The sequence below is a fragment of the Homo sapiens genome, chromosome 11, assembly GCF_000001405.40.
Source record: "Homo sapiens chromosome 11, GRCh38.p14 Primary Assembly".
NCBI lineage: Eukaryota > Metazoa > Chordata > Mammalia > Primates > Hominidae > Homo > Homo sapiens.
Window position 1 is genome coordinate 8935024 of NC_000011.10, and position 12178 is coordinate 8947201.

General features: G+C 42.1%; 1 protein-coding gene across 1 annotated transcript, besides 2 other annotated features; it reads right to left on the reverse strand.

The window, feature by feature from the left end:
- Nucleotides 2014–2113: an enhancer, noted in NCBI's record as "active region_4396". NCBI's record gives its function as "activates an Ori minimal core promoter by ATAC-STARR-seq in GM12878 lymphoblastoid cells {active_cell/tissue: GM12878}" and the evidence as "EXISTENCE:reporter gene assay evidence [ECO:0000049][PMID:35858748]".
- Nucleotides 2184–2323: an enhancer, noted in NCBI's record as "active region_4397". NCBI's record gives its function as "activates an Ori minimal core promoter by ATAC-STARR-seq in GM12878 lymphoblastoid cells {active_cell/tissue: GM12878}" and the evidence as "EXISTENCE:reporter gene assay evidence [ECO:0000049][PMID:35858748]".
- On the reverse strand, nt 2555–7993 carry ASCL3 (achaete-scute family bHLH transcription factor 3). The gene is made up of 2 exons (NM_020646.3): nt 7963–7993; nt 2555–3150 (listed from the first exon to the last, which is right to left on the reverse strand). Exon 2 carries the CDS (start codon nt 3136–3138, stop codon nt 2593–2595), a length of 546 nt encoding a protein of 181 aa, NP_065697.1. The 5' UTR covers nt 3139–3150; nt 7963–7993; the 3' UTR covers nt 2555–2592.
- Nucleotides 7994–12178: the final 4185 nt, after the last annotated feature.

The window sequence follows — 12178 nt, forward strand, 5'->3', positions numbered from 1 at the left end:
TGTACTCTGTCCTGTCGTGTCTTCAAAGCTTCTTTCTGAAGAGCGAAAGAGCTGCCTGCGGTAAGAGTCAGGGGCTTTGTGAAATGTTGCTGGCAAGGAGAAATGAGAAAACACGGCTTCTTATGTTTGCTGCTTTGTTTTGCAGTAGGGAGCTTTGAAAACTAAGCTGATAAATTTAAACAAGGTGGCGTTCAGAAGGAAGTCATCAGGCAGCTTAAGCGATGAAGTGACATGAAATACCTTCAGAGAGAGTGAGGGTGGAGCCTGTTGAGAACGCATCCCAAGAGGCCAGACAGGAGACTGCTACCAATAACCCAGACACAGGTGACGGGATTGGAATAAGAAAACAGTGACAACAGATATTCACCGACACCTTCCTGATTTGAGGCTCTTTGCTGGGTACTAGGAATAGAAGATGAATAAGGCTGGATGAATTATCTTCAAGGAACTTGCAGTCTACTGAAGAAGACAGAGATAGGTGTGTAAAGTGTCTAAAGATAGCAGGATAGCAACCACAAGAGAAATATTTATACAAAATAAAGGAAGAAGTAACGGCTAGGATAGGAAGTTGGAGAAGACTTCATAGAGGCATAGCAGTGGAGAGGAGTGTGATAGACAGTGTGGGATAGGTCACTGACTGGGCCTTGGGACAGATGGGACCTGGGAGTTAAAGGAGAAGGAAGAGCTGAAGCTGGCCATGGAAGCAGAAATAGACACACTTTGAAGGCAGACCCCAAGATACGGGGCAGGGACTGTCCTTCCCAGGTATGAAGGAAAGGCCTGGCAGCTCCAAGTTTTCTAGCTTAGAGAACCTAGAGAATGGTGATGCTATGGACAAAACAAGATAATGATAATAATAATCAGTAATGATGGCCAGCCACAGTGGCTCACACCTGTAATCCCAACACTTTAGAAGGCAGGGGTGGGAGGATTGGTTGAGGCTAGGAGTTCGAGACCAGCCTGGGCAACATAGGAAGACCCCATCTCTAAAAAAAATGTTTTTGGCTGGGAGTGGTGTCTCATGCCTGTAATCCCACCACTTTGGGAGGCCGAGGCAGGTGGATCATGAGGTCAGGAGTTCAAGACCAGCCTGGCCAACATAGTGAAACCCCATCTCTACTAAAAATACAAAAAAAATTAGCTGGGTGTGGTGGTGGGTGCCTGTAATCCCAGCTACTCGGGAGGCTGAGGCAGAGAATTGTTTGAACACAGGAGGCGGAGGTTGCAGTGAGCTGAGATTGCATTACTACACTCCAGCCTGGGCAGCAGAGTGAGACTCCATCTCAAAAAAAAGTTTTTAATCATTATGAATACTTATTACATGTCAAGGTCTGTTAATCATCATCATAAACACATGGGAATTGCTGTTGTTGTTATTCTCATTTTGTGGAGAAGAACCGAGACATAGAGAAGAGGTAGCAGAGTTATACTGCAGATACAGGTCTGGTCTCGCTCTGTCGCCCAGGCTGGAGTGCAGTGACGCGATCTCAGCTCACTGCAAGCTCCGCCTCCCGGGTTCACGCCATTCTCCTGCCTCAGCTTCCCGAGTAGCTGAGACTACAGGCGCCCTCCACCAGGCCGGCTAATTTTTTGTATTTTTAGTAGAAACGGGGTTTCACCGTGTTAGACAGGATGGTCTCGATCTCCTGACCTCGTGATCCGCCTGTCTCGGCCTCCCAAAGTGCTGGGATTACAGGTATGAGCCACCAAGCCCGACTTTCTTTTTTTTTTGAGATGGAGTCTCGCTCTGTCACCCAGGCTGGAGTGCAGTGGCGCAATCTCGGCTCACTGCAAGCTCCGCCTCCTAGGTTCACGCCGTTCTCCTGCCTCAGCCTCCTGAGTAGCTGGGACTACAGGAGCCCGCCACCATGACCGGCTAATTTTTTGTATTTTTAGTACAGACGGGGTTGACCGCATTAGCTAGGATGGCCTCAATCTCCTGACTTTGTGATCCGCCCGCTTCGGCCTCCCAAAGTGCTGGGATTACAGGTATGAGCCACCAAGCCCGGCCACAGCTCTGCCTTCTTAGACCCTATACTAAGCTGCCTGAAGAAGTCTGCATGCAGGAAAATGATGCATCTGAAATAATTTCAAATAACAACAAGGTTTTGTAAACTACTTTCACTTTAGCCCCAAGACACTTTCCCATGGTGGTGACTTCTTGTCAATCCCCAATAAGTAAAAATCTCCAAATGTTGACAAATAAAGAGAAGTTCATTGTGATTGCTCAGCACGACGCTTCAGCGAAGTGACGACCGGCATCAGGTAGTTAGCAGTCACGCTTCACAAGCTTCCGTGAGAGCTTCTCACATGCTCAGCCTCTGGCCGAGCATGTGAGAAGGGCAGGGTGAGACATGCAGAAACTCTGGGGCCCCCTGCTCCCCTAGAGTTCGTGAAAGAAGCAGAGCAGCTCCTCAACCTACATGAGATCATGTTTAGTACAATTGAAGCCCAAGCGAGTAATACCCAGCATAGGTTAGCATTTGAGCTATTTCCTGCCCACATGGAAATTACATTTAGGAAAAACTATTGAATGATGCCGTAAGAGACCCCATTTTGTGATATTATTCATTTCTATTTGGAAACAGCAACTCAAACAATTCTGAACATAGGGTCAGCATGGTGGCTGGTGGTTGCTATCATGGAGGAAACTTTTCCAGGGTTATTCTTGGTCTCAGCTTTATCAGGGTACAGAAGAGACTGCAGGTAGTTAATGTACTTGATCGCAGCTCTGAGGGTTTCCACTTTGCTGAGTCGCTTCTCCAAATACTCCTCTGGCAGATGATGGCGGAGCTGGGCGTAGCCTTCATTGACACATTTCACCCGCTGCCTTTCCCGCTCATTCCTTTTCCGGGTGAAGGCTGGCCCGTAGGAGTACTCGCACCCTCTGTAATTTGGATAAGGCATCGGGAAAGAGAAGGGGCAGGGTTCACTGTAATTTCCCAGGATAAGAGAGTCGCTGGGAAAAGGCAGCCGTGGCAGCTCCTCAGAGTAAGGGGATGACACCGGGGCCTCTGGGTGCACGTGGAAAGTGACCATGGGCTCCAGATAGAAGGACCTGGTCAGTGGCAAGCGGGCAGAATCAGGGAAGATAGGAAGTTTGTCAGGTAGACTAGAGTTGCCTCTGTTGTCCATCATTTCCTCTTTAACCTGCAAACATAACCAAGTTTAACAATGTGGTCAGATAGAGAGCAGATATGATCTACTTTCTTGGAGATCAATGTTTTATTTTATTTTATTTTTCGAGATGGAGTCTGGCTCTGTTGCCCAGGCTGGAGTGCAGTGGCGTGATCTCGGCTCACTGCAACTTCTGCCTCCTGGGTTCAAGCAATTCTCCTGCCTCAGCCTCCCGAGTAGCTTGGGATTACAGGCGTCTGCCACTGCACCCAGCTAATTTTTGTATTTTTAGTAGAGATGGGATTTCACCATGTTGGCCAGGATGGTCTCGATCTCTTGACCTTGTGATCCGCCCGCCTCAGCCTCCCAAAGTGCTGGGATTACAGGTGTGAGCCACCACGCCCGGCCGGAGATCAATGTTTTAAAGACTTTTCTGCTTTGATGACCAATTTCTGAGCTCATGTGGACAATGAGATGGTGTTATAATATTCTGTGTGTAGTAAGAGGATTTTTGATGGTACACAGAAACAGCACTAAATAACATTGAATCACCTTATGAGAAAGTTATTGTCCTTCCGTTCTTTTTCAATCCTTGTGGTTATAAAGATACAACCTTAGTCTGCTGAGAATGTGTCTTCCACACCACACCACTAGAATTCTTTTTTTTTTTTTTTTTTCCTTTGAGACAGGGTGTGGCTCTGTCACCCAGGCTGGAGTGCAGTGGTGTGATCATGGCTCACTAGAGCCTTAGCCTCCCAGGTTCATCAATCCTCCTGCCTCAGCCACCTGAGTAGCTGGGACCATACGTGGCCATCACCACGCCTGGCTAAGTTTTGTATGTTTTTGTAGAGACAGGGTCTTGCCATGTTGCCCAGGCTGGTCTCAAATTCCTGAGCTCAAGCAACCCGCCTGCCTCAGCCTCTCCAACTGCTGGGATTACACACAGGAAGCCACCGTGCCTGGCCTAGAATGCTTTCTAATCCTCCTAAGATCAAAGCCTTCAACAAGCAATAGCGTCTAGTTAGAATTCAGTGTCTTTACTAACTTCTATTTATTGTGAGTTCTAGTAATTTCACATTTATGGTAGCGACATAAAGTTCCTTTTTTTCTTTTTTTGAGACAGAGTCTCGCGTTGTTGCCTGGGCTGGAGTGCAGTGGCACGATCTCGGCTCACTGCAACCTCTGCCCCCCCGGGTTCAAGTGATTCTCCTGCCTCAGCCTCCCAAGTAGCTGGGATTACAGGTGCCCGCCACCACGCCCAGCTAATTTTTTGTATTTTTAGTAGGGACGGGGTTTCATTACGTTGGCCAGGCTGGTCTCAAACTCCTGACCTCATGATCCACCCGCCTTGGCCTCCCAAAGTGCTGGGATTACAGGTGTGAGCCACTGTGCCCGGCCATAAGGTTTGTCTTAAAACTAAATCTACTTGAGTAAGAAACGTGATTTGATTTAAAGACAAAGAGTGAGTAAATAATAGTACAGGTGGAACAAAGATATAATGGTGATCGTGAAGACATGCAAATAAAAAAAGTGTGGGAAAGGCTGAAACACCAAAATACCCAAATATATGCAAGGGAAATTATGAATTAGTTAATGATCATGCAACCTCAGAGGCATAGCCTTCTTAAAGAATACCTGATGTGCTAGAGGCAAAACCAAAAATACAAATAAAAAAGGAATCATTTGCTCTTAAATGTTCACTATGGGACTCCTTTAGGTGAGAAACTTCCCCTACACATTTAAAACATAGTCAATATACAAGTTTTTACATATGTAGAACTGTAAATATATTGAGTAAAGTGCAGCTATGTTTAGGTTTTTAAATTTTTTTATTTATTTTATATTTTTATTTTTAGAGGTGGTGTTTTGTTCTGTCAGCCAGGCTGGAGTGCAGTAATGTGATCATGGCTTACTGCAATCTCAAACTGCTGGGTTCAAGTGATCCTCCTACCTCAGCCTTCTGAGTAGCTAGGACTGCAGGTGTGCACTACCATGCCTGGCTTTTTTTTTTTTTTGTAGAGATGGGGTCTTGCCTTGATGCCCAGGCTGATTTTAAACCTCCTAGCTTCAAAAGATCTTCCCACAGCACTGGGATTACAGGCATGAGCCACTTCACCCAGCCTATAGTTAAGTTTTGTTGGTTTTTGTGTGTGTGTGTTTTTGTAGAACTCAAGGATGAAGCAGTATAACCCAAGAGGTTCCACACCAACGCATTTCTTCTTTGTGAATAGGTCTATATCCTTCTCCTGTTTTAAACTACTGTTACTTTTTGCCTCTGCCTGTAATCATGTAGCAACAACAGATTTTACAGAGCCACTGCAGTGTAACCGGTTAACTTGGAGGCGGGGGGAGAAAGAGCTTTTTCTCTCAGTCATAACACCCTCAGGTTTCAATATGGCCTTACCCCTTCCTAGCTATGTGTCCTTAGGCAAGTGTCTTAACCTCTCTGAGCTTTCGCTTTCCCCATGTCCAAATGAGCTACTAACTATTCTGCAGGGTGGTTGTGAGGATAAAGTGAAAAAACTACAGTTGACCCTCCATATTGGTGAGCTCCACATCTGTGTATTCAACCAACTATGGGTGGAAAATATTCAGGGGGAAAAAAGGGATGGCAGCATGGGTACTAAATAAGTACTGACATTTTTTCTTGGCATTATCCTCTAAACAATACAGTGTAACAACTATTTGTATAGAATGTGCATTGCATTAGGTATTATAAGTAATACAGAGATGATTGAAAGTGTTTGAGAGGGTGTGTGTAGGTTCCATGCAAGTGCTACGTTATTTTCTGTAAGGGAGTTGGACCTCTGTGGATTTTGTTATCCGAAGGGGAGTCCTAAACCCAACCCCCCAGGTACAGAGGAGTGACCGTGCCTATAATGCACCCAGCATTTGCCTCTTTCCTTTCTTTAGAGATGAATGAATCCTTATGTAGCGTTCCTTTCTAAACTGCACCTTATAGAAAACCTGGTTTATGTTTTCCTTAACACTGTAGAGTCACAGCACTGATCTATCCTAAACACACATGTTGAGAGATGAGGAACATACCTAAAATGGAGAAGGGAAAGCAGCTTGAAGTCTAATTGTGGGCCTCCATCAAAGAAGGAAATATGGTGTTAATTTCTCAGCAGGTTGATTTTTCAGCATCTTTAGGAGTGAGGGGTTATTATCTGTGCTTGGCATACTAAACACACACACACATACACACACACACACACACACACACACCAGTCCTAATGTTTAGGGCAAGATTAGATAATATTGGCACTTGTTTCTCTACCTGAATACAGCAAAAACTCAGCAGGCTGCACTGTGTAGTGGGAGGAGCAGCCCCTAAGACCAGAATTCAAGTATGAAGGTCAGGGGACTAGGGAAACAGCAAGGGCAGCAGGGGCAGGGGTGCCGGGAGGGAGGAGTGGCCAGGGTTAAAGGCTATAGTAAGTCATGGTGAAAGAGGCTGGAAAAGAAGTCAATGCCAGGAAAAGCTCTTCTTAAAAGCGACGGGGTGGTGGGATGAGATAAGTGGGATAGCTCCAATTAAAAATCGAAACAGAGGAACAGGAAATGAAAGATTCCAAATTACTGACCAAATGACCTAAGATAACTAACAAAACAAAAATCTCTGGAAAACTAAAAACTAGCCAGGATTCTGTCAAAAAGAAAAAGTTACTGAGAGAAACAAGTTAGGAAATTCCCAAGCCAGGAATTCTAGAGGGTAAGAGAGAAAGAACGGGTATGGCAGAAGCTGCAAAATGGTGGCAAATGGGTGTGGAGCCCGTATTACTGCACTTCCGACAACAGCAGAGCCATATTGTTGCCTGTAGTTAACAAGCTGGAATTAACAGGCTACCAAAAAGTAAAGCAGATGTCATCAAACCTAACTATACAAAAATCGTTCTTTTGGTGATGGTTTTACCCTAAAAGACCATTTAAACAATATCTTAAATCTTGACCCAGATGAAATCTGAGTAATTTGTATATGCCACAAGTAATTAAAACTTTCTAGGTTTTAACAATATTTTCGTAATTCTTGAAAAAAGAGCATGGTGTCTCTGGAGGCACATTGATGAGAAGTTTTTTTCTGTTGAGCATTTCCAATAAGTTCACCAATCAATGTACTAGCATTTAAATATGATCACCTTTTATTCAAAGAAGAAAATTTAAGGCAACAGAGTGAGAAAATGAAATAAAATGCAGCAACAAGGAGAATCAAGATAGAAAGCCTAGTGGGGTCTGGATGTGTTTGTAGGAATTGAGTATAAGTTTTTAAAAGAAAGCAACACAGATTGGTAGTGCTGGGGCTCCATGGTTCCAGATACAGACACAGCTAACAAACACACCTATGTTGGGAAAATCTCAGATTCTGCCTTAGAGCGATTCTGGGAAATAAATGATGAGGTCTTAATGATAAAATTGTAAGAGATTCTGGATGCTCTGCTGAGCATAAAAGCTTCAAATTTCAGAGATATAAAAGATATGTAGCATGTAAAAAATAAAAAGCTACAACTGCCGATATAATTGAATTATGGAATGTTAGAGCTAGAAGGAAACTTAAAACTTCCTCATAGGTTGTGATATGTTGCTAAGGTTACAAAGCTAGTAGCAGAGCAGGGGCCAGAACCTAGTGTCCCGACTTCCAAATCAAAACTCCTTCTGCTCTTCTAGATGATTTAATTGCCAGCAAAACCTGGATCTTCCATTATATGGGGAATAATTGGTAGTTTGAAATAATGGAATAATCCGATAGCTGACAAAATTCAGTATTTATCAACTGTACCTAGGGATTTTCTTAAAAATCATGTTCTTATTCTTCCCCACGGGCCACTCTGGAGAATAGTCTCTTACCTGAGTTTTGTCGTCAGGATGCTGTATTTTGGGCTGAGTTGGACTTAACCTGATTTATAGGTGATCATTTAATAACAATATGCAAAGTAGCTTACAGTTAAACAGAACTGCTCAGTTCTGGTTTGGCTGTTTTTCCTATCCAATGTGTAGATATGACAACAGATAACCATACTAAATAGAAAGGCGTGCTTACAAAACTGGATACTTGTAACAAATTCTTTTGTTTAAAGAATGTCCCCCATTCTTCTGGGTTATATGATATTATATCAAAATTATTTATGGAGCAATAGACTCATAATGTGCAAATATTGGCCAGTATTCTTTTAGATAGAGGTTAAGGCCAGAACTAGGAAGGTCAATACGAACTTACATCTTTTTTTTACTTTTTATTTTTTTAAAGCCAGTTGGATTTAGCAGTGGGGACTTTAGTGACACGAATGTGGATGTTAAATTCTGATAACCCAGTATCATAGGAACTAGCCAATACCTTTTTCTTAAATAGCCATTTTATTTTTTCTTCTTAAGTATACTTTTATCTTTTTAAAAATATAAATATTAGAAGCATTCCTTCTCTCCTTATTTATTTAGAGACAAGATCTCACTCTGTAGCCCAGGCTGGAATGCAGTGGCATGACCGCAGCTCATTGCAGCCTCCACCTCCCGAGCAGCTGGGACTACAGGTGCGAGCCAACTTGCCTGGCTAATTTTTGTATTTCTTATAGAGATGAGGTCTTACCTTGTTGCCTGGCTGGTCTTGAACTCCTGGTCTCAAGAAATCCCACCCAAAGTGCTGGAATTATAGACTGCTGCACCATGCCGAGTTTAATTTTTTTTGAGACAGTTTTGCTCTTTTGCCCAAGCTGGAGTGCAATGGCGTGATCTTGGCTCACTGCAACCTCTGCCTCCAGGATCAAGTGATTCTCCTGCCTCAGCCACCCAAGTAACTGGAATTACAGGTGTGCACCACCACACCCAGCTAATTTTGTATTTTTAATAGAGATGGGTTTTCATCATGTTGGCCAGGCTGGTCTCGAACTGCTGACCTCAGGTGATCCGCCCACCTTGGCCTCCCAAAATGCTGAGATTATAGGCATGAGCCACCATGCCCGGCCCCAACTTTAATTTTTAAAGCAATTGTAGGTTCACAGAAAAATTGAACACAAAGTAGAGCTAATTCTCATACACTCCCTGCCCCCACGTGTGCATGGCCTCCTCTGCTATGAACATTCCACATCATTATGGTACTGTGTTAGAACTGATGAACCTGCATTGATACATAATCACCCAAAGTCCATAGTCTACATTAGGGCTCACCCTTGGTGTTGTACATTTACATTCTGTGGGTTTTGACAAGTATATAATGACATGTATTCACCATTGTGGTATCACAGAATAGTTTCACTGCCTAAACATCTTGTGCTCTGCCTATTCATCCCTCCTCCTTCTCTAACCCCTTGCAACCGCTGATATTTCTGTCTCCATGGTTTTGCCTTTTCCACAATGTCAGATAGTTGTTAATTATGCATGTAGCATTTTCTTTCTTTCTTTTTTTTTTTTTTTTTTTTGAGACGGAGTCTCACTGTGTCGCCCAGGCTGGAGTGCAGTGGCACAATCTCAGCTCACTGCAAGCTCCGCCTCCCGGGTTCATGCCATTCTCCTGCCTCAGCCTCCCTAGTAGCTGGGACTACAGGTGCCCGCCACCACGCCCAGCTAATTTTTTTTTTTTGTATTTTTAATAGAGACGGGGTTTCACCGCGTTAGCCAGGATGGTCTCGATCTCCTGACCTCATGATCTGCCTGCCTCAGCCTCCCAAAGTGCTGGGATTACAGGTGTGAGCCACCACGCCTGGCCGCATATAGCATTTTCAGATTGGCTTCTTTACTTAGTAGTGTGCATTTAAGGTTCTTCCATGTCTTCTCATGGCTTGAAATCTCATTTCTTTTTAGCGCTGATTATTCCATTGTCTGGTTGTATCACAATTTGTTTATCCGTTCACCTACTAAAGGAAATCTTAGTTGCCTCCAAATTTTGGCACTTATGAGTAAAGCTGCTATAAACATCTGCATGCAGGGTTTTGTGTGGACATGATTTCAACTCATTGGGTAATTATTATGGAGCACAATTGCTGGACCATATAGTAAGGGTATGTTTAGTTTTGTAAGGTTGCTGTACCATTTTGTATTCCCACCAGCAATAAAAGAAAGTTCCTGTTGCTCCACATCCTTGAGAGCATTTGGTGTTATCAGTGTCGTAGATTTTGGTCATTCTAATAGGTGTGTATTGGTATCCCATTGTTGTTTCAGTTTGCATTTCCCTGATGACATATGATGTGGAACATCTTTTCATATGCTTATTTGCCATCTGTATCTCCTCTTTGGTGAGGTGTCCAGGACTTTTGCCCATTTTTAAATCAAATTTTTTGTCCCTTATTAAGTATTTTTTGTATATTTTAGATAGCAGTCCTTTATCAGCTATGTCATCACCACCATCTAGATCTTCTCCTATGTTATCTTCTGAAAGTTTTGTAGTTTTGCATTTTACATGTAGGCCTATGATCTATTTTGAATTAATTTTTGTGAAGGGTACAGGGTATGTAACTAGATTTCTTTGCATGTGGATGTCCAGTTGTTCCAGCACCATTTGTTGAAAAGACTATCTTTTCTCCATTGTATTGCTTTTGCTCCTTTGTCAAAGATCAGTTGACTGTATTTATATGGGCCTATTTCTGGGTTCTCTATCCTGTTCCACTGATCTGTCTTTTTTGCCAGTAGCATACTGTCATGATTACTGTAGTTTTATAGTAAGTCTCAAAGGTAGTGTTAGTTTTCTGACTTTGTTGTTCTCCTTTAATATTGTGTTGGCTATTCTGTCTTTGGCTTTTTTATAACCTTTAGAATAAGTTTAATATCCACAAAATAACTTTCTGGGATATTGATTGGGATTGCATTGAATCAATAGATCAAGTTGGAAAGAACCGCCATCTAAACAATATTGAGCCTTCCTATTAATGAATATGAAATATATCTTCATTTGTTTAGTTCTTTGGTTTATTTAATCATTTTTGCAGTTGTCCTCATATAGATCTTAGATACATTTTACTAGGTTTATACCTAAGTATTTTATTTTGGGGGTGCTACTATGAATAGTATTGTTTTTAATTTCAAATTCCACTGTTTGTGGCTGATATATAGGAAAACGGTTGACATTTTTTAGAGACAGGGTCTTGCTGTGTTGCCCAGACTGGAGTGCAGTAGCTATTCATGCAGCAATCATAGCTCACTGCAGCCTCAAAACTCCTGGCTTCAAGTAATCCTCCTGCTTCAGCCTCCTGAGTAGCTGGGACTACAGATACATGCCACTGCACCTGGTTTGATTGACTTTTGTATACTAACCTTGTATCCTGCAAGCCTTTATAATCACTTATTAGTTCTATTATTGTTGTTGTCAATTCTTCTGGGTTTTCTACATAGACAATCATTGCATCAGTAAACAAAGACAGTTCTATTCCTTCCTTCTCAATATTTATACCTTTTATTTCCTTTTCTTGTCTCACTGCATTGGCTAGGACTTCCAGTACAACTAGGACTTCCAGTGCAATGTTGAAAAGGAATAGTAAGAGAAGACGTCCTCGCCTTATTCCTGATCTTAATGGGAAAGCTTCTAATTTCTCATTATTAAGTATATGATGTTAGCTGTGGTTTTTTTGTTAGCTCATTTCTTTATCTAGTTGAAGTTCTCTATTCCTAGTTTCCTGAGAATTTTTATCATGAATGGGGTTATTTTGTCAAATGCTTTCTCTGCTATTGATAAAATTCATGTAATTTTTCTTCTTTAGAAATGTTATTTTCAAATGTTGAACCAGCTTTTCATACCTGGGATAAATCCCACTTGGTCATGGTTGAAATTAAATTTTTTAATACTAACAATAAAATTGATAATTTATATATTTGTAGGTGCTTAAAATTTTACTAAACCCCAAAATCCCATTAATGGCTCCTAAAACCTCACTTTTATGAATTTAATTCTGATTTTTTTGGGCCAAGAATTTCTCAGAACAAGTACTCCTTCAGGAATTTGAAATCTCCCAATTTATCAAAATATTAGTATACTTTTCAGAGATCCACCCCCAAATTCATATATTCTGTCTATACATGCAAACACATAATTTACACCAATATTTTACGGTTAGATTGGTATAAAACAGTAGTCTCAGAA

Excerpts from the sequence above, each read along its gene's own strand:
- ASCL3 (NM_020646.3), bottom strand. The coding sequence starts at position 3,138 with ATGATGGACAACAGAGGCAACTCTAGTCTACCTGACAAACTTCCTATC.